Raw genomic sequence first — 27,062 nt, forward strand, 5'->3', positions numbered from 1 at the left:
AAATGAACAGTATTCGTGATGAATGTGCAAATAAGGAAGGCTGAAAAAGAAACCAATGTGTTCTTGGATCACACAAAGAAATTCCATTTCTCTTTGAAATGTTTATTCTTCCTCCTCAAACAAACTTTCATAATGAGAGTTAATTGAGCTGTTACATTATATCAGAGTATTCTGCTCATGCCAATACATAATAACCCAACTTGAAAATCTACATTTTAGATCTAATAAAGTCATATTTGAGGAATGTTAACAGCTTGGTTCCATTTGGCAAAAGTCAAGAAACTCTTAGTCATATTTCTATGTATGTAACTAAGTAACCAAATATCCTAAAATATAAGGAGAAAAGAATAGATATGCTCACAATGAAAAGAAAAGGATTTCTCATATATGATGCATTCTGTACTGTAAATCCGATTGTTTTGCATCCATGACCCTGATATAAACTCCAGACAGTGTTTTATGCTTCAATGTCAAGCCTTAGGAAAAAAGCTGGCAAAAATATCACTGCTTCAGTGTCAATTATTTCACATGGAACTAGTTCATAAGCAGCATGGACAAGAGCACCACAACTCTACTTTCTTGCAATGACATGTATTTAAGAAAAACATCTTCAGAAACAAGGAAAACATTTACCTGCTCTTTAATTATTGTTAATTCAGAAACAATATTCCTTACGCTGCTGTCTCGATCTTTCTTATCCTTTCCAAATGCTGGGTTATGTAAATTGACCTCTTTCATTGCTAAAAGATTTTGACCACTATGCTTTCTAACCTAAAATAAAGAAAAACACAACAACAACAAAAGGAACAGGGTAAAGAAGGAGAAGAGAGAAAGAGGAAGAAAGAGATAGACTAACAAAGTCACATGAGTAACTAAGTCATATAAATAAGTCACAGAGCATTTAAAGTTCCAGCTGTATTTACATTAAGCTCAGCTCAAAACATCAAAACACTGGTATCCCCTGGGTCAGTCTGCAATACTTAGTAGCATTTTTTAATTTAGAGATTGCATCATGCATTGGGAGAAACTATTTTGAATACCTTTGTGAGAGATTAATAATGCCTTTTGTCTTAAAAAGTCAGTGGCCAATTTCTAGAGCTTACAGCTAAAACAATATTAGTGTGGCTATCTCTGTTGGACAAAAACAATCATTCTAATTTTCATATCTGTTTGCTATTTTTCAATGACAAGAGTTCTAATTCAATTGAATATCGGTGTGCAAGTGTGACATCCGGTTTGGTTGGGAGTATCAGAAATGTTCCCCAAGGGGAAAGTCACCTTGTAAACACAGCCAAAAGCTCCACTTCCAAGATGATCCAAAATTGCATAGTTGCCTATATATTTCAAAGGAGCTTTGTTCTGATTAATGCTTTCAATATTTTCAGCAATTTGCTTCAGTTCATCCTCCTAATCAAAATATAAAAAGGAAATGGGTTTCTGTGATAAATTACATCCTGACTACATAGCAGCCTGCCAAAATATTGAAAACTCAGGACTTACCACTAATAAATTCAGCTTGGATACCAATTCTTCATAAGCACTGATATCACGTACATAATGCCCTATGTCAATGAAGATCTCAAACAAGTCTGTGGGGAAAAGTCTACAGAGAATATTACACACACTTAAAGTAGAACTTGGACACAGTTGATCATTACTTCCCTTTTTTATTTTTTTGAGACAGAGTCTCACTGTGTCACCCAGGCTGGAGTGCAGTGGCACGATCTCAGCTCACTGCAAGCTCTGCCTCCCACGTTCACGCCATTCTCCTGCCTCAGCCTCCCAAGTAGCTGGGACTACAGGTGCCTGCCACCATGCCCGGCTAATTTTTTGTATTTTTAGTAGAGACGGGGTTTCACCATGTTAGCCAGGATGGTCTCGATCTCCTGACCTCGTGATCCGCCCGTCTTGGCCTCCCAAAGTGCTGGGATTACAGGTGTGAGCCACCGCACCCGGCCCATTACTTCCCTTTTGAATGCAGCTCACTCACTGATTAATTACATGAAACAAATTTAACTTCTTTTGGTTATCAACAAAGTTGGGGAAATAATATTCCCCAACTTATCTCGAAAAAATACACTATTTACAGTTTTTGAGAGGTAAGAAAAAAACAAATGGAGAAGAAAGTTCTAGAGATCTGCTGTACAACCTTGTGCTTACAGTTAATAACACTGTACACTTAAAATTTTAAGAAGGTAGATGGCATGTTAATATTTTTACCATAATTTAAAATTAGATATGATACAGATTATACAAAAATCTTACTTGTAAGATATTTGGGGGTATAGGCATTGAATACATTAGAAGGAAACATTTATTGGGTGTTTTTTTGGGTGTGGAGCACTTTCACAAATGTCATTTAACTCAGATTTTAGTAAGAAGTAAATACTAACCCAACTTTTAAATAAAAGTTTCATGAAAATAAAAATACTGGTACATGAAAAATAAAACAAATAAAGAGATTCATTCATCATTCCCAAGACACTGGTTTCAAGGGGTTTTAAAATCTTTGAGTTCACTAAAAGGGATGATTTAGAGCTCTGAAATGAAAGATTATAAAGAATAAGTAGCTGGGTGTGGTGGCTCACGCCTGTAATCCCAACACTTTGGGAGGCCAAGGCGGGTGGATAACCTGAGGTCAGGAGTTCAAGACCAGCCTGGCCAACGTGGTGAAAACCCATCTCTACTGAAAATACAAAAATTAGCCAGGTGTGGTGGTGCATGCCTGTAGTCCCAGCTACTCAGGAGGCTGAGGCAGGAGAAGCAACAGGATGAGCCTTTGTCAAAAAAAAAAAAAAAAAAGAGAACTAATTTTACTTCATTTTCCTCTAAATCCAAACAGTATAGAAATAAAGTAACAACATAAAATGCTCCATGCTTTCTGCACTTGATCTCAGCCAAAAGGCCGAAAAGTGACGCTCCATGCTTTCTGAACAAAAAATACTATATTAACTCAATACTTTATGTCTATTCTGCCTTATTAACAAAATTTTAATAAAAACTTGGGCCTATGATTTTGGCTAACCCACCTAACTAAATGGTGTGCAGAACACCACTGAGGGAACCAGTGTTTGCTTCCCGAAATGGTGACCTTTTGGTCAGGCTCACCAACACAGTATCTTGACCCCAGAACATCCAGCCTCCCCTTCAAATGAGCTCCTACACCATCAAAGACACACAAAAAAACAGTTTGTTTTCCCTTTGATTAAATTCCCTTTGATTAAAGTGAAATTACCCGATTGACTTTCAAATTTCTAGCTGGAAAAAAAGAAGCTCATATTTTAATGCCATCTTTTAAAAATGTTAATATCTTTAATTATCAAAAAGAAAGCTAAAATCACAGCAGTCACATGTAATTAAGGGGAGTTGTATTGATATAGCAATTTATGCTCTTTCATCATCATTCTGTTAATATTCAGTGTGGCTGGATACTGAATCACTACAGTAGCTCACTTCTATCTGTGAAATAAGAAATCTGAAGACACATGGTTTGCATACTGACGCATTATTTTCCTTCTGTTGCATCTAAGCCAAGTATGTGAAAACAGTTCAATCTAATGATCTCCTAAACCTAATGATCACTTATATTTCTCTAACCTCATACCTTTTAAAGAGTGGTCTGTTTCTTTCCATACTGAAGAGAAATCTCAAGGCTCTGAAAGCATAACACTAGAAAACAAAAGGATATGTGATTCTCAAATGGTAGCTCAACAAATTAAAACATTTTCAGGAAAGAATTAACAGGAAGTAAACATTAACGTGACTTTATTGTAAGTGGCTGGTCCAAGTTGGAGCCAAAGCTTCTAACTGAAAACAAAAAACACCAACACCTGGGGTCATTCCTGTATTTAAAAAGTGTTTATGTTGTAGAATGCAGGGAATATTGGCCTTGCTTCACTTGGTACTCGTCATTAATTTCTTTCTAGAAAGTACAAAATGAGTACAGAGACAAGAAATAAAATTCCGATGCTGAGAAAACCAAATGTCTAAAGATTTCCAGGAGCTCAAGGTTTATTTTGTTTCTAGCCTGCTATGTATACCTCAATATTTATATGGTTTCTGTGAGAAAATAAACACTAGAAATGATGACATATAAAAATAGCCGCAGGCACACTGGATTCAAACTTGACAAATTGGTCTCTTGAGTAAAGAGTCTTAAGCATTCCCCAAATAGAACAATCTACACTAACTCCCTAGAACGCTCAGAAAGAGGCCTGTGAGCCTTTACCTAGGAAAAATAAACATCTGACATTTTGCAGTACTGAGAAAAAAGAGTGTGCCCAGCCTGCAGCTGTGCCTGCACAATAGGCCACCATTGGAGTGATCAGGGTTTGGTGAATCAAATCTGGGATCATTTCCTAAAATCAGTGATCTGAACACAGAAGGGTCCCATACAAAATTGCCCAGAGAGGTGAGGCCGGTAACAAAATGACATGAAGGAGCCAGGTGAGAGCAGTGGAGACTGTGAGAAAGGGAGAGCATGCATATTCCTCAAAAGCCCTCCATCTGGAATTCTAAAAAACCCTCTACTGGCTTAACGAAATGTCTCTGCAGGATGGGTTTGTCTTTATCTGTTTAACAGCACAGTGTCATATATCTGTGATGCACTGAAGAAATCAAGTCCCATGCCTGCACCTTCCCGTTGGTAGCGCTCCAAAAACCCCTGCCTGCCAGCACAGAGACACCCCGAAAGAGTCTGCTGGGTTTGGCCATCATTTTGGATGATAACTCTTAAATCAGATTGGAGACAAAGGTTGTTTCTTTCTTCCTTTTCAAAATGACTTGGGGGAAAAAAAAAGATGAGCTACAACTATTGCAAAGACTAACTTTAAATCAGATTTTGACATTAGGGCCACTGCCCCCCGCCCCCACTCTGCCAATACCCACTCCTCAAAAACGAACATAGAACCCTGCGTAACTGTTCCCCTTTCTTACATGTGAGCCCTCAACTCCTGGAGCACTGCCTCCCCAAACCACACACCCCAGTTCCACTGAGCAGCTCACCCTTTACTCAGCTCTCCCAACACCCACTCCTCAAAAATGAATGTAGAACCTGGCTAACTGTTCCCCTTTCTTACATGTGAGGCCTCATCTGCTGGAGCACTGGCCCCCACAACCACACACCCCAACCCCACTGAGCAGCTCACACTTCCCTCAGCACACTCTAAGCTCACAGCTTTCACACTTGGTGCATGCTGTTCCCTCTGCATGGAATGCCCTTCCACCCTGCAGCAGATGCCATTGGTGCCCCACCCAATATCCCCTTATCCACTTGGCAAGTCCCTTCTCATCCATCAAGATCCATGATGGCAAATAATTTTCCCCCTGTTGTTATATTCTGATACATAAGGAATGCATATTTTTTTAAAAAAATAGAACTTATTGATAAGCAAAGAAACACCTAAATAAATCACCTAATTCTCCCACACAGAGAAACCACTGTTAAGCCTTCTGTATTGTTTTAATATTATTTGATTCCATGCCAGTCTTCCTTGCCAGATATTTTTCCCTCATAGTCAGTACAGGGACCAGTACTAACCTAAACATTCTAAAAATCATAGATCATTTTACCATAGTTACCCAAGATTTCAATAACTTGATACTGAAGGACAAGAGACATGTTTATTACCTGTAATAGATTACTTTTTGCTGCATTCTTTTGCTTATTTGGTAAAATTAATTTTGCTATTGTATATACACCATTTTCCTGAAAGAATAAAGGGGTCATACTATGAGTGACAACACTGTAGTGATACACAAGCAAAAAGAGGCAAATAAACAATCTCAAACATTAATATCAAAGAAGAAATATTAGTATAACTATGGACCTTGAAGTAAACATTACAGGACAATATTTAAAATGTCAACATAACACTTTTAAACACCAAAGAGTACAACTACAATTTTAAAATTTCAACTGTCTGTGGAGAATCAAGATTATAATAAAGTACATAAACGTAAAGTGATTCAAATACCTTAAAAACAATGAGAGATTAAAAAGGGACAGAGTAAAGGTGTCCCAATATCTTAGATTTATATCTTTGATATTTATTTATATCCTTAATTACCACAACCATAAAGGGAGAAATTATATTCCAGTTATTAATTTATGTCTTTATTATAATCTTGACATCTTTCTAGATTTTTTAATTGAAATATACACATGAAGGAATGAACAAATAATAATACCTTACAGCCACTTTTCTATTATCTAGTAAATATATAATGTACTGATCTTTACTGTGTGCAGGCATTCATATTATAACTGCAAAGAGCTTTATTTGCCTTATTGCATCTAATCTCTGTAACAACTCTGTGAAATTAGTCTATAATTTCCTTGTTTTATACATGAGAAAACCAATACTTAGAGTGGATACATTATTTTTTTAGAAGCCAAGCCAAGAAGTAATAATTCCAGGAATTGAACCTCAATCTGGCCAACTTCAGATGCCCTGTTCTATCAACTACCCCCTGATCTGCTGAGTTTCTCTTATGTCCTAATTTAATCATTGATGAGCTGATCCCTTACTAACATGTACGGATCTTGAAGTTGGATATTGTAATGACACAACCAAAAATGTTTTCTCTGTAAAATTCACTAAGTAGGAGGTAACTTTTGTGATAGAAACCCATACAAGGGTTGTACATATACATGTGTATGTTTATTAATATAGATCTATTAATTTATATTTATGTGTATATATACATACACACACAAACATGTATATATAGCTGTACATATAGTAGATTAATTAGTGGATTATACTTTGCAAAATCAGTTTCTTGGCAATAAATATTTTGTTTGCTGTGTCTCAATCATCATTTTTAACTTAATAATCTGATGCATAGTCTTAATCAAAATGATTGCTGTCCTTACCTTATGGTATTCTATACACCCAGAATTAATGCAATTCAGAGTATCCCTTTTAGAAAGAAAAAATAAAAGGGACCGCACATAACATAATGAAGAAACATCAATTAACCACATGTCAGTCCTTTTTAAGTCAAATGAGTTAAAGGAGGAAGGAGAAGAATATAAAGTGGAACTTTATTAGTTAAACGAGAAATGTTAAAATAGTTTTAAAATCACATGATGGGAATCCCAAAACCTATGTTCTGGGATACAGACTGCACCACAAGGTGAGTTGATTATGAATGGTTATGGAGACCTGACCTTGAGAAGGAGTGCTCTCACCTGAACCACCTGGTGGGCATTGGTGTCATTGAGCACCAGCTCAGTGAGGGCAGCACAGCAGGCTGGAATGACAACAATCAAATGCATAGTGTGCATCATTACAATAAATATACTATCACATAAATACTCTTACTCCACAGGGTATTTTTATTATTTTGCTATTTTTATTAGCAAAGTAACTTCTCAAGAAACACTAATTTTCCTTTTGGCACAGCTCTGGAAGAAAAGAAGTTGACTTGTAATGGCTTCTAATTCTCCTCCCCATGTAATTCATGTGCGTGTCTATTCCACTGCAACCATTTATTGAGCACTTTCTTCGTACCAGGAGGCAAGTATTGCATCTGTCCATTTCATTGTAATCCCCAGTGCCCAAAACATGCCTGGCACTTAGCAGGTGCTCAACAAATATATCTATAATGGTTGATAAATAAAAGAATGCTTTAAATATATTATTCAACTCAATCCTTATAATAAGAGTATGCACTGTGATTACCACTGTTACTGGTGAGAAAACAGTTTCAAAGAGTTACTAGACTAGGCCACACAACCAGTAAGTGGAAATGACCAGGAGTGCAGCCCCAGTCTGCCAGACGTTAAATCCCCAGCCCTAAGCAGCACCACTCTTGCCTCCTGACAGCCACTGTGGCAGCCTTTGGTGGTATTTTGCACTGAGATACTTGTGCTCTCAGAAGTATGCCAGACTCTATAGCACAGAGCTCCTATAAAGGATAATTCCATTTTACTGTGCTGAAGATTTTACATATATTCCCACATAATTCTCACAATGATCTTCTATCATTGATACCATGATTATCATCACCATTTTACATAAGCAAAACTGGAGCTTGGAGAAATTAAGGAACTTTCCCAAGGCCATATAGCCATCAATGAGGGTGGAGCCAAAACTCAGACCCTACTCTTAACCGTTTATGTTTTTAATTTTTATTTTTCCATTTTTATTTAGGTATTAACATGGTTTGGCTGTGTCCCCACCCAAATCTCATCATGAATTGTAATCCCCACAATTCCCACATGTCATAGGAGGAACCCGGTGTGAAGTGATTGAATTATGGGGGTGGGTCTTTCCTGCACTGTTCTTGTGATAGTGAATGAGTCTCACAAGATCTGATGGTTTTAAAAATGGGAGTTTCCTTGCACAAGCCCTCTCTTTGCCTGCTGCCATCCACTTAAGATATGACTTGCTCCTCCTTGCCTTCCGCCATGATTGTGAGGCCTCCCCAGCCATGTGGAACTGTAAGTCCATTAAACCCCTTTCTTTTGGAAATTGCCCAGTCTCAGGTATGTCTTTATCAGCAGCATGAAAATGGACTAATAGAGTAAATTGGTACCAGTAGAGTCGGGCTTTGCTGAAAAGATAACAGAAATTGTGAAAGTGACTTTGGAACTGGGTAACAAGCAGAGCTTGGAACAATTTGGAGGGCTCACAAGAAGACAGGAAAATGTGGGAAAGTTTGGAACTCCCTAGAGGCTTGTTGAATGGCTTTGACCAAATGCTGATAATGATATGGACAATGAAATCCAGGCCGAGGTGGTCTCAGATGGAGATGAGGAAATTGTTGGTAACTGGAGCCAAGGTGACTCTTGCTATGTTTTAGCAAAGAGATTGGTGGCATTTTGCCCCTGCCCTAGAGATCTGTGGAACTTTGAACTTGAGAGAAATGATTTAGGGTACCTGGCAGAAGAAATTTCTAAGCAGCAAAGCATTCAAGGGGTGACTTGAATGCTATTAAAGGCATTGAGTTTTAAAAGAGGAACACAGCATAAAAGTTTGGAAAATTTGCCATCTGACAATGCAATAGAAAAGAAAATCTAATTTTCTGAAAAGAAATTCAAGCCTGCTGCAGAAATTTGCATAAGTAATGAGGAGCCAAATGTTAACCCCCAAAACAATGGAGAAAATTTCTCCAGGGTGTGTCAGAGACCTTTGTGGCAGTCCCTCCCATCACAGGCCTGGAGGTTTCAGAGGGAAAAACGGTTTCATGGACTGGACCCAGGGTCCCTCTGCTGTGCGCAGTCTAGGGACTTGGTGCCCTGCATCCCAGCCACTTCAGTCATGACTAAAAGGGGCCAAGGTACAGCTTAGGCTGTTGCTTCAGAGGGTGGAAGCCCCAAGCCTTGGCAGCTTCCATGTGGTGTTGAGTCTGCTTGTACACAAAAGTCAAGAATTAGGGTTTGGGAACCTCTGCCTAGATTTCAGAGGATGTATGGAAATGCCTGGATGCCCAGGCAGAAGTTTGCTGCAGGGGCGGGGCTCTCATGGAGAACATCTGCTAGGGCAGTTCAGAAGGGAAATGTGGGGTCAGAGCCCCCACACAGAGTCCCTGCTGGGGTACTGCCTAGTGGAGCTGTAAGAAGCAGGCCACTGTCCTCCAGTAGAATGGCAGATCCACTGACAAGTGTGCACAGTGTACCTGGAAAAGCCAAAGAAACTCAACATCAACCCATGAAAGCAGCCGAGAGGGAAGCTGTACCTCACATAGCCACAGGGGCGGAGCTGCCCAAGATCATGGGAACCCACTTATAGCATCAGCGTGACCCAGATGCAAGACATGGAGTCAAAGGAGATCATTTTGGAGCTTTAAGATTTGACTGCCCTGCTGGATTCTGGACTTGCTTGGGGCCTGTAGCCCCCCTTTGTTTTGGCCAATTTCTCCCATTTGGAACAGCTGTATTTATCCAATGTCTGTACCCCATTGTATCTAGGAAGTAACTGACTTGCTTTTGATTTTACAGGCTCACAGGCAAAAGGGACTTGCCTTGTCTCAGATGAGATGTTGGACTGTGGACTTCTGAGTTAATGCTGAAATGAGTTAAGACTTTGGGGGACTGTTGGGAAGGCATGACTGGTTTTGAAATGTGAGGACATACGATTTGGGAGGGGCCGGGAGCAAAATGATATGGTTTGACTGTGTCCCCACCCAAATCTCAATCTTGAATTGTAACTCCCACAATTTTCATGTGTCATGGGAGGAACCCAGTGAGAGGTGATTGAATTATGGGGGTGGGTCTTTCCTGTGCTGTTCTCATGATAGTGAATGAGTCTCACTTGAGATCTGATTGTTTTTAAAATGTTTTTTTTGTAAAACCATTGAAAGTGCATGGAGTTTCCCTGCACAAGCCCTCTCTTGCCTGCCATCATCCACGTAAGATGTGACTTGCTTCTCCTTGCCTTCCACCATGATTGTGAGGCTTCCCCAACCATGTGGAACTGTAAGTCCATTAAACCTCTTTCTTTTGTAAATTGCCCTGTCTTGGGTATGTCTTTAGCAGCAGCGTGAAAATGGACTAATACGGGTATAGAATAAGCTATGTAACGTAAACACATCTTAAGTGTAAGGCTCAATGAGATACTACATATCTATGTGCCCTGTAACCATCCTCCACCCAGAGGAATGTGTAGGCTATATTTCCAGTTCTCAAAGGCTCCTTGTGCCCCTTCTCAGGCACTCACTCTCCTATAATTCCACATCTAAGTAACTGTTCTTCTGAATTCTATCACCGTCAATCTCATCCACTCTTTGAATGATTGCTAGAAACACTCAGAGCTCTGAGATTCCACTGGATTAGACTTCTGGGGAGTCTTCAAACAGTAAACCCCCAGCACAAGACCTTGTACTGAGACAGGGGCCTTTCAGAGTAAGCAGAAATGGCACTTTGAGGAGGAGCTCCTATGTCCTTGTTTTCACACCATCTATGAAGAAATATCTTCTGTATTCTTCAGGAGAAAATAGTAGACAGCAAGGAAAGCCTGCCCTCTCCCACTTCCCCACTCCCTCATTCCCTCTCCTGCAGTCTGCTCTTTCCCCTCAGAGTCTCCCTGTCTCCTGCTGGCCCATACCACACCTCTCTGCTCCCTTTCTGTGGGCCGCTCTAGGGCACCCAAATTGGCCAATAGCACTCAGACCGCACTGTAGCTCCAGTTGTCCCAAAGGCCAGGTGCCCCCAGGCAGGGCACAAACTGCATGACTGCTCAAGGTGGCCCTGCCAAAAAGCATTGATGCATTGCTGCTCCTGCTTGCATGTGAAAATCCTAGACAGGGCAGCATCTTTCAGTCTTCTCTTTGGAGCTCAAGAAGCATGGGGAAGGTACTCTCTTGCACCTGGTGAGACAAGTGTGTGCACTGTAGATTCCCCCTTATGTAGGGTGCCCTGGGATCTAGAAAATTCTAGAAAGCATGATTCTGGCCACAGATCAAGCTGCATCCCCTAATCCAGCTTTCCTCATAATAAAGCTAATGTTTTGTATCCTTATCTCTGACTTCTGTGTTTATCTCTTGCTAGGTTCAGAACACAGAAGACAAAGAAACATTTGTTGTATCATTCATCTGCAAGTCCAACACTGGGACCAAGAAGTTTCTGGCATCCATGTGGATTTCACTTTACATTTTTGTAAACTTCTAAATTTTGCCTACTTAACACTACTACACTAATCTATGATAGTGAATAATAATACAACACAATAAATTATAGCATATCAAATAATAAAACATAAATACCTGCTTGAAGTGAGAAAGTATTTTCTTGTATTTCCCTAGGGCTCAAGTCTTCTGATAAATGAAGCTGCTGGATTCGGCCTGCAGCATTTGCACTGGACAGGCTTCCAATGGAGGAGTGATCAGAAACAAAATTTCTGTCTCTGAAAAAGAAAAGTTAATGCATAGACCATTTATCAATTTCCCTTCACCGTCAGTCCTTTCTGTGTCACATTTAAGAAATCTTTGCCTCCCTCAGGTCATGAAGGCATCATTATTGTTTCACTTTCCAATCCACCTGGAATTGATTTTTGTGTATGGTGTGTGGTAAGAACCATTTTTTTATGGTTACTGATTTCTCACTATTTATTGAAAAGTGTCCTCTCCCCACTGCTCTACATGGCCACCTTTGTTTTTGAATTTTCTATTTTCCTGGAGTTGATTCACCTGAATACATCTCAGTCTTGATTATTCTCAGTTTCCTTTTTCCATGAACTTTCAATCTTCCTTTATTTTAAGAAAGTTCTCTCCTATCATATCTTGGAAATGTTTGGCCCTTTTCATTTTACTCTGTACTTCAGGGATCTCAATTGTCCACATGTTGAAAACCTGTCTTCTTCTATTGGGCGTATCTTTCATTTTCTAATTTCTTTTATTCATTGGTCTTTTTCTTCTGCATTATATGTAATTTTTTTCAAGCTTACCCTACATTTTACTATTTCCATTTTTTTCTGGTGATCTAGCAATTTATCGGTTCTGTAGGTGTTATTCAGTCCTTGTTTTCTTTCCTAGCTCTGCAGTCTTCTCCCTTTTTTGTGTCCAAAAATTTGTTTCATCTTTAATCTCATTTCATAAATTCATGCTCTGCTTAATGTCTTTGATGAAATAAAGCATTGGCTTTTCTGTTTACTCAGTACACTTTCTTCCATAATAGTTCTTCATCTGTCTTTCACCTGCTTTGTTCCCTTTTGTTTTACATAGTTACCATTTTTTTCCATGTATTTATTTTTTATAGCAGCAACTCTACCTGAATTTCTCTGTGCCTAAATGTAACATGGATGGAGTTTCCTTGACTTCCCTCTCATGTCATCTGGGTCCACTAGTGTCCTCCCTGCAATGAGCATGGGGAAGGTAATGGAGCTAGGCCTAGGGACAGTCACAGGTGGTGATCTTATCTGTCAACATGATTCTCTTAAAACTCAAATTGTAGGGATCTCTTCACCTGATCAAGAGAGCCCTTTGGGAGCTGCCTTTGAGTTTGAGATGGCAGGTGAACAGGCATGAGAAAGTGTCCCAGAAACTGCCCTGAAAACAGTGTTCTTCATACTCCAGCCACAAGACAGCCTGGAAACGTCTACCCCTAATGCCAGCTGCAGTCAGCCCAGGGTCAGGCACAAGCTCTGAAAAGAAACTGTTTATCCAGCTGGGGTAATAAATTCTCCCAAAGCACCAGTACATATTTAACATAGAATAAGAGTTAAAATATGTCATTGTCCTGGGGAAAAGTTTGCTAACATTGCACCATCAAAATGGACTGGAAAATGATACTTTAGATGTGAAAGACCTCTTTTTTACCAAGGATAGTTATGACTTCAGCAAAAGAAGAAAGCTAGATTCAATTCTATATGAGAAAAAGGCAGGTTTTGTCTTTGAAATTCTGCTTAACTATTACAGAATTTCATTTTATCCTTATGAAAATAGCTGTTCTCCAAGAGGGCAACCCATACCTATTATAATAGGTATGATTGTCCAATAATAAAGAATAACCACCACCATGATCATCATTACCATCGTCATCCTACAAACCTAAATAAAAAACCTTTGGCAATTGTAATTATTTTGACCAAGGGGCTGGCTTATTATGTCACAGCACTAATGAATGACTTATAATTTATACTATAAAGTAATTGATATTTTTATGTCACATTCATGAAGCAAGTGGGTTGTCAACAGTCTATAAATTTTTCCTTTGTTTAGGTAATGACAAATATTGTTAACAAAGCTACTGTTCATGTCTGTACAGTCTATTCTTATGCTTCTGAATGTTCCTTAAGAGAAAATGAAGTTGGTAACACACAGTTCTGCAATATCGCTGGAAGCATAACAAATACAAAGTCATAACAACATTGATTTGATAATATCTAGTTATATGAAAATTGATAAGTCCCTCTGCTTTTATTAGAATGAGCTTTATTTATGTACTGCAGATCATAAAGACGATCCAGTTCAAGGAGGCATACTCATTTTTAACTTTGGTTCAGCACCCATAGAACTGAATTATACTTTATAACAATATTAGGTAATAGAATCTTCCCATGGATGGTACCACAAGATATTATTATTAAATACTTCAATCTATTTAATTCAGAAAATACAGAAGTTAGTTTGCAACGTACTTCTAGAGAATTTCAATTGGGAACAAAACTATCCATTCTCCGTGCTCCTGACTTAGAATGTCACTGGAATTCTACTTTTAAAAGAGAGATAATGCCCACCTTAGAGGACCGTAATGAAGATTAGAGAGAAAAGTAGAGAACTGGACTAGAGTTAGTAACATGGCAACCACTTGATTAATGATATCATCTTTCAAAAACAAGGATTGTACACCTGCTCCTTTCATATAGGCTTTGTTTTCTCTTTATAGATAATAACATATGTGCACACACAAACATTTTAGGAAAATATTAGTAATCATTATACTTGGAATGACAAAATGCATATACTAATTCAAGGAAAAGGTGGCAAGACAAAGGTTTTTTTTAGGTTACTGGATTTCCATTCAGCCTTCATTATATTTGCAGATTGATGGCCTTCTACATTCCCAGCACTGTACTGGAGGTTGGTGATGCAAAGATAAATATATCTGGGTCCCCAAGGAATTTAAAAGATGAATGCCCCTGACATTGATTTAGAACATGCTTGTGACAAGTCTAGATGACTTTGGAAAGCATGAATTACCAAAGAAATCCCAAAGCAGGAGGGAATGAGGTGACACACACCAATCTGCCATCTTGTCACAGAGTCCCCAGACTTCAACAAACAGGGCAAAGTAGGCCAAAGCCCACTTTTACTCACCCTTGTAAAATATGAAGAAGCTGTTTGATGCCTCCCCAAATGCGAATTTCCACGCTGGTCTCAGGGTCCTCACAAACCTGTACCAGAATCCAGACAATGCTCCAGAGGAGCTTCAAGTGGTCAGAGTGGAGCAGACTGAGGAGGACCGGTATCCCCTCATAGAGCTTCACCTGCTCTTTCACCTGGGGCTCTGCACAAAGTAGGCGCAGCAACTCCGCTGTTAGTCTGAAAGGGGTACAGAGGGTGGGGTGAGAATCACAGCATCATGAGTTGATTACTTTACATTAAGACTAAAGCTATCATCAGTGCATGAAATATAACCCTAACATTTTGTAAGTCATGGGTCAATGTGCCATTTTCTGTAAGGAGCCCGATCAAAGCCAAACACTTTTAGCTTTACTAACTGTACAATCTGTGTCACAACTACTCAGCTATGCTGAGATAGCATGAAAGCAGCCATAGACAACATATAAAAATAAATTCGCATCCCTATGTTAAAATAAATCTTTATTTACAAAAATAAGCAGTGGAATAAACTTAGACTGTAGGTCATAGTTTGCAGACCACTGTTCTAAATTATAGGCTCGTTGCATCATCGTTGGTCTGATTAAAAACCTACTGACCAGCATTGGCAGGGCGTGGTGGTGTGTGCCTGTAATCCCAGCCACTTGGGAGGCTGAGGCAGAAGAATTGCTTGAACCCAGGAGGCAGAGGTTGCAGTGAGCCGAGGTCACTTGCCACTGCACTCCAGCCTGGGTGACAGAGCGAGACTCTGTTTAAAAAACAAAAACAAAAACAAAAAACAAACCTACTGACCAGCAAATAGGTATCAAGGACAAACAATGACATCTGCATTGTGCTAAAGACTAAAAAAAAAAAAAAAATAATAATAATAAAAGCCTTATTCTAGTCTTCAGAAACTTACTATGTAATTGCAAAATAAGACATTCTTAGAAAATGTCAAAAACACTACAATGCAGGTAAGTTAAGGGCAAAGCACTCAGTTACTATATACTCAGTGCAAAGTGCATTAAATTGATGGTAAAGACACAAGGTTCAGCTGTGCCATGAAATATTATGATGATAAACGTTTTATAGAATCATCCTTAGTCCTCCAGTTTCATACTCTAAACACTCCCCTCCTGGATGGTGTCATCCATTCCCATGATTTCAAACACTCTTTCAACCCTGTCATCATGATCTCAGCCCAGGCATTGCTCCTAACTTCCAGAAGTTTTAGCCACATGGATATTCCACAAGTACTCTCCATACTACCCCTAAACTCAAAGTCATTAGCCTCCTCCCCAGGTCTATTCTTCACCTTATATCCCCGATCTTGACTCATGGCACCACAATATTTTCAGTCTTCCAAGCCACAAGACTGGGAGTCATCAAGACACATACTCCTCTTTTCACACTCCTCCACTGTCAATCAAGAGCTCTTAGTGTTTTCTATTTCCTGGGCAACGTTGGGATTCTTTTGAACACCAGGCAGCTAGGTAACCCCACTGCTCCTCCCATCCTTGTAATCCTTTGTCATGCTCAAGATATAAATCCCTCTTTCATCTACCTCTCCAATATTCTCATTCTCATACGGCTTTCTCATTCCTTTCCCCTGAGCTGATTACCTATGGCTCCTCTCCCTCCCAAATTTTGTGCTCTGACATTAATAATAAATGTTCCTTGATAAATAGTATTCTTTACCTTCACGAACTTTCCCAGCCTCTCTTTGTTGTAAGTGGATCTCAATGTGTGGATATAAACAAACACCCCCACCTCACTCCCACATACACTGCTATCAAAGTGATCTTTCAAAAAACAAATTTGATCATGCTTAAAATGTTCCCATGAGTCCCCATAATGTTCATGATAAAATTCACATCGTTATTTATCAGAGACCATCATGACCTGGATAAAGGTGTCTTGTTGCCTTATCTATAAAATACGGGAAAAATAGGGTTAATGTGCAGATCACATGAGTTAATAAGCAAAGTGCTTAGAGCAGGTCTTGGCATATAGAAAACACTGATCAAAGTTAGCTACATTTTAAATTTATCATTAACTATCTGTTCTAGTTCTCTGGCACTTTTGTTCTTATGGTCCTGCTGTGCCCAACCATCACATTCCTCTAACACACCCAATTTCATGCCTCCATGTCCAAGCACATACTGTTTTTATGTTGTCTCTCTCTCTCTGCCTAGATATCTTCTCTTTCCTCCAGGAAACTTTGCATGACTCCACATTCTAATTGGGAAGTCTCTGCTCCATGTTCCCAGAGTACCCTGTGCATCTGTCTACCGTATCAGTTATAGCACTGTTTGACCCTCTTCTACACTACATATTTATAACTTATTCATCTTTGGTTTTCAACACCTGGTACCAAGCTTGGAACCTTGTTTGTTCAGATAACCAAGTCTATAAGTATTATCTATATTTAATGCTCTTTTATGAGAGTTTTGAAGAAGAATCCAAAAGGATTTACTATGAGTTAAGTGTCAGGGCTCCATTGCTGGAGATTTCTTTTTATCTATTTTGCCTCTTTAGAAAATTACTCAACTAAATATCAAATGATATAGATTGCAACTCTATTTAAGTACAATCTAATAACTATCTGGATAGTTATTAGAACAATATGCAGTTCAAGTAAAAATGAATCCATTTTACTCTAGATTTTGAGTTATCATAGCAGGTGATCACAAAACAAGTCAGTTGCTATCTTATTTTACTTGCCTTCATGCAAATGGATTTTAGCAACCTAATCACTTATTGTAATATACAATTTGAAATTACTAAAACTAGAGCCACCTCAGAGTTTCTTTCCCTAAAAAGGCAGGATATAAATAAATGCAATAAACAAAACATTAAAAATGATATCACAAAAATTTATTTCATCAGCTTCTATGCCCAGATCTAGAAGTAATGCAGGACTAAACATAAATGGATATACTTCTTTGCTCTATTTTCTTTATATAAACTTAAACAGAAAATAAATGCCAAGCTGACTCATCATATTCAGTTACAATGTAAATAACATGACGTAATAAAAATAATAACAAGTGTATCTGTCAAATAAAGGCACTGCATTGTCTTTTTCTACTGTTAGCAATCCTACCTTTTAGAAAGCAAGTCATATTCATGTAAAATCATCAACAGATTTTCTACAATGTTGAGTTCACTTATCTTCTCCCTACATTCTTGACTATAAATTGAAAAATATTAGCAATTACTAAAAGCATATTTTGCTAGATCCATGTATTAGTCCTTTTTCAAACTGGTATAAAGAACTGCCTGAGACTGGGTGATTTATAAAGGAAAGAGGTTTACTTGACTCACAGTTCAGCATGGCTAGGGAGGCCTCAGGAAACTTACAGTCATGGTGGAAGATAAAGGAGAAGCAAGGCACCTTCTTCACAAGGCAGCAGGAAGGATAAGTGCCGAGCCAAGGGGGAAGAGCCCCTTATAAAACCATCAGATCTCATGAGAACTCACTCACTATCATGAGAACAGCATGGAGGAAATGGCCCCATGATTCAATGACCTCCACCTGGTCTCTCCCTTGACATGAGGGAATTATGGGGATTACAGGGATTACAATTCAAGATGAGATTTGGTTGGGGACACAAAGCCTAACCATATAAATTTATTTATTTAATATCCTAGCTCCAATATTATCTTGGGAGAAGAGATCAAAAAACAAAAGGAATCATATGTTATTCACAGAAAAGCAATGGTCCACTTATTGTCATAAAAACATTTAAAATAATCATGACATTTATAAGAGGAAAGATCTTCTTGAAAATTTTTCAAAGCCCACAGATGTTTGAAAACGTTCTGTATGTTAAAATTCACAGGTAAGAATGAATTAAGATGGTCAGAAAGATTCAACTGCCAAAGAAATATTATGGTAATTTTGAAATTAGAAGTAACTGAGGGTTAGATGAAAAGACTAAATATTTCCAGTCAGGAAATAAAAAGAAAATTTTAAACTGCAATTTGCCTTTCCAGTTTAAATTTTTAAATAATGCCTTCTATCCAGGATTCTCTTCAACATGTTATTTCACACTTATTTATCAAGAAATTGTATTAAGTAGTTGACAAAGTAACTGATTATTTTGCATCCTTACCACCTAAATTGCTATAGTAGCAGAACTGGAAAGTATATTAGAATACACTACTTACCTTTCTGCTAAACTAGCCAGAGCCAGAAGGGAACCCAATAGAACATTAGTATCTCGGGCACCAAGTAAATTTACTAATGTCTGAAAAATGAAGTAAAATAAAGTTTAATTATATAAGTACTACAAGCTTCTTTTTTCAACATTAACATTAATTTATTTTCCATTACCAGCTGCTTGAATGACAAAATGCTTCCCTCTTAAGATCATATAGGCTTAACTGTTTTTTTTTTTTGCTTAGTAGTTTATAATGTATGTGCATATACAATTAAGCACAAACTATATATAATGTTAAAGCTGCTCTCTCTTATGTTTTTTTCTTAATGTTATCTACTGAAATTTTTTCATGGCATTAAATATATCTTTATAAACACTTTTTGTCAATATAATCAAGTTGTTTATTTTATTATGGCTTTACCCATAGAATAGTGAAAAAAATTATGCCCTATCAAGCCTTATGCAGCTTCCTTTTTATTTTTTGCAGTCAATATAAAAGTTTATCTTAAAAAGAGTTTTATTAAACATTCAAAATATCCAGTTCTTTACAGATGGCAGGAGTCCATCTCTCCTTACTTTGGAACTCTTGATAGTAACCTCTTGTAGCCATTCCTTGCCCAGGACAGGAAGAAAAGGCATCAAGCTACATGACCAGCCTGGTTCTCATACATCCTTCTATTTCCATGTGCCCAAGTATTCTCTCCCCCTTCTGATCCCACGCTGGGAAGAACCAGGAAGATTAATGACATAAATTACAATAGTGGTAGTGATCAGCCATTGAGAACTCACTTTGAGCCAGGCATTGTGCTAGGCACTTTCCAAATTATGAAACGATTTTTCAACAAAATATTGAAACTTTCATTCTTTTGCCAAACTAAACAAGATATGAATACTATCGAGCATTCCATTTGCCTCCCAGATTTCTAATTGATGTTGAAAGTGCATCACTGATGCTCCCAAGCATCATCCTAACTAACATGACTTAGCTGGAAGTCTGTAGCTTGTCAGTGGCTTTCCCTGAATTCTCGTTAAGGCAAATTTTCTTATTTGGAAAATTCTCTACATTTTCAGAATGCGGAGTGCCCCTGAAAAGTGCCTCCCAAAATGTCTCAGGTCAGAGCTGCAACCTGCGCAACAACGGCTAAGGTAATTTTTATGTTTCCAGTATATGGATTTTTTGCCTTTATGATTTCATTTTATCTTAATGAAGTTATCATTATCTTTATTTGTCTGATCCTTTCCTCTTTTTCTTCTCTCTTTCTTCTCTGTCTTCTAATGTTTCCCAAACTTCAATCCATTACATATCATTTTCACATTTTTTGCCATATTCAACTAACATCTTTAATGTTAACTCAAAAAAATTTTTTCCAATTGTAAGCAATAATACCTGTGAAATAGCTGGCTACTGAAACAAAAAATGTTGACCTGTGTATCACCTAGAATCATCCTCTAGACCATGAGCAGCATGTGTTAACACATTTTAGGCAATCTTGCTCCCATATACACTAGAAAGTGGCTTCCCGGGATATGAAACTCAACAGGTTTCTGAAACTTGGCTCCACATGGCTACAGTCTAAACAGTTTTGCTATAAATATAGTCTGTTTTGACCTACAATGGCAATCATATATGGTTCAAACTAATATAGCCCCACATGCCATATGGAATTTATATGTATACATATGTACATTTTGTTTATTTCTGTTGACTTATTTATAAATGCACACCTAGGGTGTATTTATACATAGCTGGGGCTTTTCAAATAATATTTAAGTAATAAACCTAGTTGGTATTAAATGGCATAGGAAAAAAAAGAAAAGAGTTCCAGAAAACTTGTATTTATTATATCTCTATTAACTTGTAATGCTGGTAAAGAATATAAAAGGGTTGACAAAGATCCACAATCTCAGGCCAGGCTGGTAGGTTTGTGGATTCTAATTACACATGACTTAACCGCAAAGGCTCTGAACTTCCCTAATGTGAACTATTGCCATAGGGAGCTGAAGCATTAACTCTTTCAGGGGCCACTCACCTTGTGGGCTCCACTTGTGGTGACCCATTCTCTTTGATCTTTGACTGCAGCAAGTTTTTGAAAAATATCTATAAAGGAAAGAAAGAGCGCAAAGAGGCATCCAGAGATTAAAGGGGGAGTACTTCCAGGAGCACAGATCTGCAGTGCATATGGGCAGGCAGAGAAAGGTCAAAGGGAACACAGCACAAAAGGAACAACAGATGCAGGAGCAGCATGGCTACTTTTTTACCCCAAGAATTACTCCTCAAGCTCCACTGGTATTTATTTTCTAATATTATTGTAATAATGAAATATAAAAATACCAAAAAAGGCAAACCTCTCTTTCCACTTGAAGTTCCTTAACATCATTACCAGTTCAAAGTGAGGCCTATTCTTCAAAGATCCTCTCTGTGAAGATTTCAACTTATAAAGAAGAGAGGGAAGGCCAGCAAATGAGAGGAACCTGCACGTTTCCTCAGCTGAGGAAAATAGTCATCCTCAAAGAGACTTCCTAGTGCCCAGGGCTTGCCATAAACTCTTCTCTCCCTGGATCTGAGAATCACTGTGCTGCTCCACAAGCAGATATGAAGAGCCAGTCCAGTCACACAAAGAAAACGGACAGGCATCCCACACGGCAGGACGTCTGTGACTCATCAAAGCTGGAGTGCAGGACAGCAGGGCTGGGAAGAGCCTCCAACGGGAGAAGATTGAGTGACTAAGGAATACCTCACACTCACAGTCCAATGTTTTCACATTCGCAGCATCAGATAAGGTTTGTTGTTATTTTTCTTTTTCATGCTCTGGATGTTTCAGATTCTATGAGGTAGGCAATCATGATTAACCCAACTTTATAGAAAAAAAACTGGATAGTCTCTGACATTTTAACAGAAATAAAAAGACGCAAAAATAGATTTTACCAAAATTTGCTTTTATGGAAGCCTCTCTTGCATTAAATAAATTGTGCTTTTCAAGGTAAAGGTTGTAATCTAAACATCTTTCTTCTGGCTGTATGTTGCCACTGAATATAACAATTGGCCTGGATGCTCAACACCTGAGCTGTGTGTGCGAACATTAATAAATATTTAAAGTATCCTTGTTTCCTGCTGCAAACACCATACTGCTTTTTCTAGCAAGTCCACAAAAATGGCTGTGTCCCTGCAATAACACTTACATGTCATGTTGACCAGCTTGTCCACAGTGTGCTGCTCTTCTCCATAGCCGAGGTACTCATTGGCTACAATCTCCATATACTGCATGAAGGACCAAACCAACAAGCCAGTCAGGACACCAAAAGCACCCAAGGAAGCAAGGAACAAGATGCTGCAGTTCTTAAAATAAACTGTAGGTGGCAAAACAGATTCATCAAATAATACTCTCATGCTCCTGGAACAGTTATCGCTCAAGTGCAAAAGGTGACTGGGTTTCTAGATTCTTTGGCTTCTCTTGCGTGCTATGAAGTTGAGGGAAAGACCATCTCAAGACTCTATAAACTCTCAAAAGTCTCAAAATGACTCTTAACTAAGTAAGTTTGTTGTGTAATTTAGTATCCAAATACAAGATACATATAAGATACATAATACATAGTATATAGAATGTTTATTCTTCAATGTATCTTTTTAGGAGAATTTTTTATAATACATTGTATATATTTTACTGACGTATATAAGCTCTGAATATATGTCTAACCAGCATACATGCAGTTAGCAATAATCAGAATAAAATGCGTACTGAGTAGTCTGATAATTCTCACTGTGGATAATGATTATAATAAGAAACAGGCTCAGGGAAACAGGTAATTTCTAATATTATAATGGAAGTTAAAATGGATAAGAAGATGCTTTGTAACATAATCTTATGAAATATTAAGTTATTAAATGAGGTACACCTCTAGTCAATTTAAAAGGTTCTTGAAAACAAAAAATAAACATGAATCAATTTTCTAAGAATATAATAAAATAAAGTAGATTTAATGTTAAATTGCCACCAACTTAATCTTCCATTAATTATTCAGAATGAGTTTGCAGGGCCACATGTTTATTATGAAAATCATTCTTTCTGTAAACATTATACAGGTTTTAGGAGACTAGCCTGTTCCAACTCAAAAACGTGATCAGAAATTTTGTTTTATTCCAGCCTGGCCAACATGGTGTAACCCTGTCTCTACTAAAAATACAAAAAAAAAAAAAAATGATCCGGGCATGGTGGCGCATGCCTGTAATCCCAGCTACTTGGGAGACTGAGGCACAAGAATCACTTGAACTTGGGAGGCAGAGGTTGCAGTGAGCTGACATCACACAACTGCACTTTAGCCTAGGTGACAAAGTGAGACCCTATCTCAAAAAAAAAAAAGAAAAAGAAAGAAAAAGAAATTTTGTTTTATTGTATTAATAAATGCAAGCCTCTGAGTTGCTCAGTATATATATTCACTTGCTTACCCTCGCTCAGTAGTTAGCAAAGCAGAAAAATAAATAAGGTCAAGATCATTCCTTTCTTTGTCATCTATTTATTAGTATTTTAGTGAGCACAGTAATCATTTTCTTGTTTGAAAATGTTTTGAACATCTTCATAATCAGTTTATTATCTTGCCAGGCCCAGTGGCACACACCTGTAATCCCAGCTACTCAGGAGGCTGAAGCAGGAGGATTGCTTGGGCCCAGCATTTTGAGACCAGCCTAGGCAACATAGTAAGACACCGTTTCAAATATATATGCATATATATATACATATTTCTTTTCCTCCCACCATATGGTATATACAATGCTAAGGGCTTCAGCCTTCCAGCCATCGCCCCTTTTGTTGTTGTGAGGCGGAGTTTCGCTCTGTTGCCCAGGCTGGAGTGCAGTGGTGCAACTTCAGCTCACTGCAACCTCCGCCCCCCAGGTTTAAGCAATTCTCTGCCTCAGCCTCCCGAGTAGCTGGGATTATAGGCACCTGGCACCATGCCTGGCTAATTTTTGTATTTTTAGTAGAGACGGGGTTTCACCATGTTGGCCAGGCTGGTCTCAAACTCCTGACCTCAGGTGATCCACCCACCTCAGCTTCCCAAAGTGCGAGGATTACAGGTGTGAGCCACCGCACCTGGCTGCCTATTTCTTATTATTACTAGCTAAAGACATGTGACCTTTTATAGCACTTTCTCATTTCATCAGGCTGAGTAAAGTGAGCCCAATTAGCCAGAACAAAATGTGGTGGGTTCCTCCCTGCTCTGTGAGTATCATGCCTCACACTCACACTTAACGCTGTCTGTCCCTCTCTGGGGCAGACAGCATAACATAGGAAAGCCACCTTCTGTCACATACCCTTTTAATTCTTGCTCATAGCAGGCACAAAATGAAAAGGCAAGACCAGCCACCACAAAAGGAATCTTACCTGAGCTAGGTTTTCAATCCCACCCAAGCTATGGAGTATTTCCTAATAAAATAAAAGCAACAAAACACATGTAAATGATGAGGGTGGAGGGGGAAGTATATTTTACATGCAATTTCTTTACTAAGTTGTCATATTTATAATTATATTGTGAAGGTCTACATTCTAATATAAATACGGAAAACTTACAGTATGTCATTCATACTACCTTTAAAATAAACTATTAATAAATATGAAAGTTGGGTTGAGATCAAGAGAATAAATCTGTGCTCAGAACCGCAGCCTGCCCCTTCATTCTTCTTAACTCCTCCTGTGTCATCATAAAATGTTCGAGTTGAGAAGAGCCATTAGACACCATTTCATTCAATATTCTCATGTTACAGATGAGGAAAACCAAGACACAGAAAGAAAACCATTTTGCATAACTGACGAACCTGGATGAGTTCATCACCAAACTCCAAGAACCCTCCGCTAGGTCTCTGCCTAGTGTCCATGAACCAGCAGCACCCTCATTACCTGGGAGCTGAACAGAAATGCAGAATCCTGCACCCACCCCAGACCTACTCAATCACACTCCGTTTCAACAAGATCTCCAGGTCATACGTACGTACAGTACAGTTTGGGAAGCATTGCTCTAGGACAGAAAGAGTTTCTCAAAATTATTAGATGAATGATCTTATTAGACCCATGCTCTAAATAAATGTAAAGATAATTTTTGACAATGTCTCCTGATACAGGACTTTAAATTGTGAAATGGACCAGCCTAGAGATCTACTAATAGTAAGTGCTCTTAGGTTAGCCACATTGTCATTTATCTATAGACAAATATTCTCAGGTGGCTTTAACCTGCTTAATTACATCTGTATTGACATCTCTCTCCTTACTTAACATGCCCACAAGGAAGTTATTTGAAACATAAACAAGAGCCATAATTTCAATTCTGGGAAGTGCACAGGGACGAGTACATGAGCGTGGGAGAGAACAGTCTAGTTCTCCCATGAAGCCAGTGAGTGGGCAGACTGGGAAAAGGCACAGGGGCCTTTTTCTCTCAAGGCCTCCTGGGTCAAGGTTTCCATACTCTGTATAAAGTGAACTTGGAAATACTGAACACACTTACATCTAAATTAAATTTTAAAAGAACATTTAGAACTCAATTAAAAATAGTTCTATGACTACCTACTAATTTGAAGCCTCATCAATGCTATTCACTCTAGAAGAGCTATAATTAAAGAGCACGAGAATATTGTACATATGATCTCTATTTATGGTAGGAGGTTTTGTACACATAAAAATTAAAATAACATTTAAAACCAGTTATATTTATTCAACAAACATTTTTTCCATTCCACCTATGTAAAATCCTTGAGTTAGGCTCTGGAGACACACATATGTAGATGGCAGGAGTGCTCTTTGCTGAGCTGTAAGCAAGCATAAGGTGGGTATACAAACAACTAGAACTTAAGACAGAACGAGATAAGTGTTAAAAGTAAATTATACATGCAGTGTTACGAGGCGCCAGAATAGAGACACCTCATTCCTGCTGAGAGGACTAAGAGACACCTCATGTGGGTGGTGGTCTCTAAATGGGGACTGGAAGGATGGATGGATTTGCCAAGTAAAGATCGGGAAGAGGTGAAAATAAAGGAGATTCCAGCAAAGAGAATAGGAGGCTCAAAGGTGAATAGAAATTGTGCAGACAAAACATCAAGACATGCTGTAATTCCGAGAGAAGCAGTTCCGTAACTCCATGGAGGGCATTACTGGGAAAAAATGTTAGAAAATTAGGGTGGATTCACACTGTGGGAGGACTTAGATGTGAGCCTGAATTTGAACGTTTTCATGCAGACCGTGATACCCAATGAAAACGTGTGAGCAAGGGACTGGCCAGAATTAGCTGTGGGGACTTCCTTCTAGTCATAAAATGAACTGGAGATGGGGAGCGTATCAACTGGGAGCTCAGGTGGGGGTCAGTGACAGCAGGAGTAAGAATGGAGAGAAAGGGGTAGTATTTGAAGCGATATGATCAACGGAACATGAAGAAAGATTGGAAGAAAAGAAGCAAAGTCAAAGACATCAGTCTATTTAAGTGGGAGTGGCTGGGCACAATGTCATAATTAACTAACACAGGGGGAGAGAAAGGAATAGGCTGAGATAGAGCAGAGGACTCTATTTTGGACATACTGCAGTGCCGCAGGCCCAGGTGAAAAAAATACAACAGGCCACAGAAAATGAGGTGAGGGCAAAAGACTAAAATCTGGGAGTTATTCACATGAAGGAGATTCATCTGAAGCTTGGGAGTGGGAAGACACCAAGGAAGAGAATAATGTTTAAATGGTCATGGTAATGTTATTTTTAAATGTTTGCCATGACAATAAATTTATTCAATAATTTTGATGATATGGGACTAACTCAATGTTTCCTAAACCATGTCCTGGAAACAGTCATTTTATTTTGTGCAGTGGATGGAATTAGGCATTCTACCAAAAAAAGAAAAAAGAAAAAAAAAGAAAAGAGAGAGAGACAGAGAGAAAGAGAGAGTTTTATTGTCCAATCAGCTTGGGAAATGTAAGGTAAAACAGATTTAACAAATTCTCTATCTCAGGACTCTTTGGCGCTGCTGAGCACTATAAGTCTCTAAAAGAAGAACTAGTGTGCAGCTTTTTCTAAACATCCCTAACCAAAGCACACTTCGTTTCCCAGGACACGTATTACTCCTGTGGAATAAAGTTTGAGAAGTGCTGCTATAGAGTAG

At 38.5% G+C, this 27,062-nt stretch overlaps 1 protein-coding gene across 30 annotated transcripts in view, besides 1 other annotated feature; it reads right to left on the reverse strand.

Annotated features, from left to right (window-relative positions):
- NEK10 (NIMA related kinase 10) overlaps positions 1-27,062 on the reverse strand; it is a 262,900-nt gene that overhangs the window by 183,500 nt on the left and 52,338 nt on the right. For 20 of the 30 annotated variants that reach the window (XR_001740034.2, NM_001394966.1, NM_001394965.1 and 17 more), the window contains 13 exons: positions 24,314-24,355; positions 22,116-22,194; positions 20,966-21,033; positions 18,943-19,022; positions 17,876-17,962; positions 14,764-14,988; positions 11,713-11,852; positions 7,196-7,257; positions 5,630-5,707; positions 3,605-3,669; positions 1,501-1,603; positions 1,279-1,407; positions 634-771 (listed from right to left, as the gene is read on the reverse strand). Coding sequence is in view for 29 of the 30 variants with exons in the window: in NM_001394966.1 (NP_001381895.1) it covers positions 634-771; positions 1,279-1,407; positions 1,501-1,603; positions 3,605-3,669; positions 5,630-5,707; positions 7,196-7,257; positions 11,713-11,852; positions 14,764-14,988; positions 17,876-17,962; positions 18,943-19,022; positions 20,966-21,033; positions 22,116-22,194; positions 24,314-24,355 (1,296 nt within the window). In the remaining variant the exon portion in view is untranslated. Of the gene's footprint in view, positions 1-633; positions 772-1,278; positions 1,408-1,500; positions 1,604-3,604; positions 3,670-5,629; positions 5,708-7,174; positions 7,258-11,712; positions 11,853-14,763; positions 14,989-17,875; positions 17,963-18,942; positions 19,023-20,965; positions 21,034-22,115; positions 22,195-24,313; positions 24,356-27,062 lie in introns of all 30 variants that reach the window. The other 10 variants (NM_001394969.1, XM_047447506.1, NM_001394967.1 and 7 more) reach the window with 4 other exon arrangements.
- Positions 20,865-22,064: an enhancer, noted in NCBI's record as "CDK7 strongly-dependent group 2 enhancer chr3:27352339-27353538 (GRCh37/hg19 assembly coordinates)". NCBI's record gives its function as "activates an origin of replication core promoter dependent on BRD2, BRD4, P300/CBP, MED14 and CDK7 cofactors, with strong dependence on CDK7, by STARR-seq in HCT116 cells {active_cell/tissue: HCT116}" and the evidence as "EXISTENCE:reporter gene assay evidence [ECO:0000049][PMID:35650434]".

The sequence above is a fragment of the Homo sapiens genome, chromosome 3 (assembly GCF_000001405.40).
Source record: "Homo sapiens chromosome 3, GRCh38.p14 Primary Assembly".
NCBI classification, from domain to species: Eukaryota; Metazoa; Chordata; class Mammalia; order Primates; family Hominidae; genus Homo; species Homo sapiens.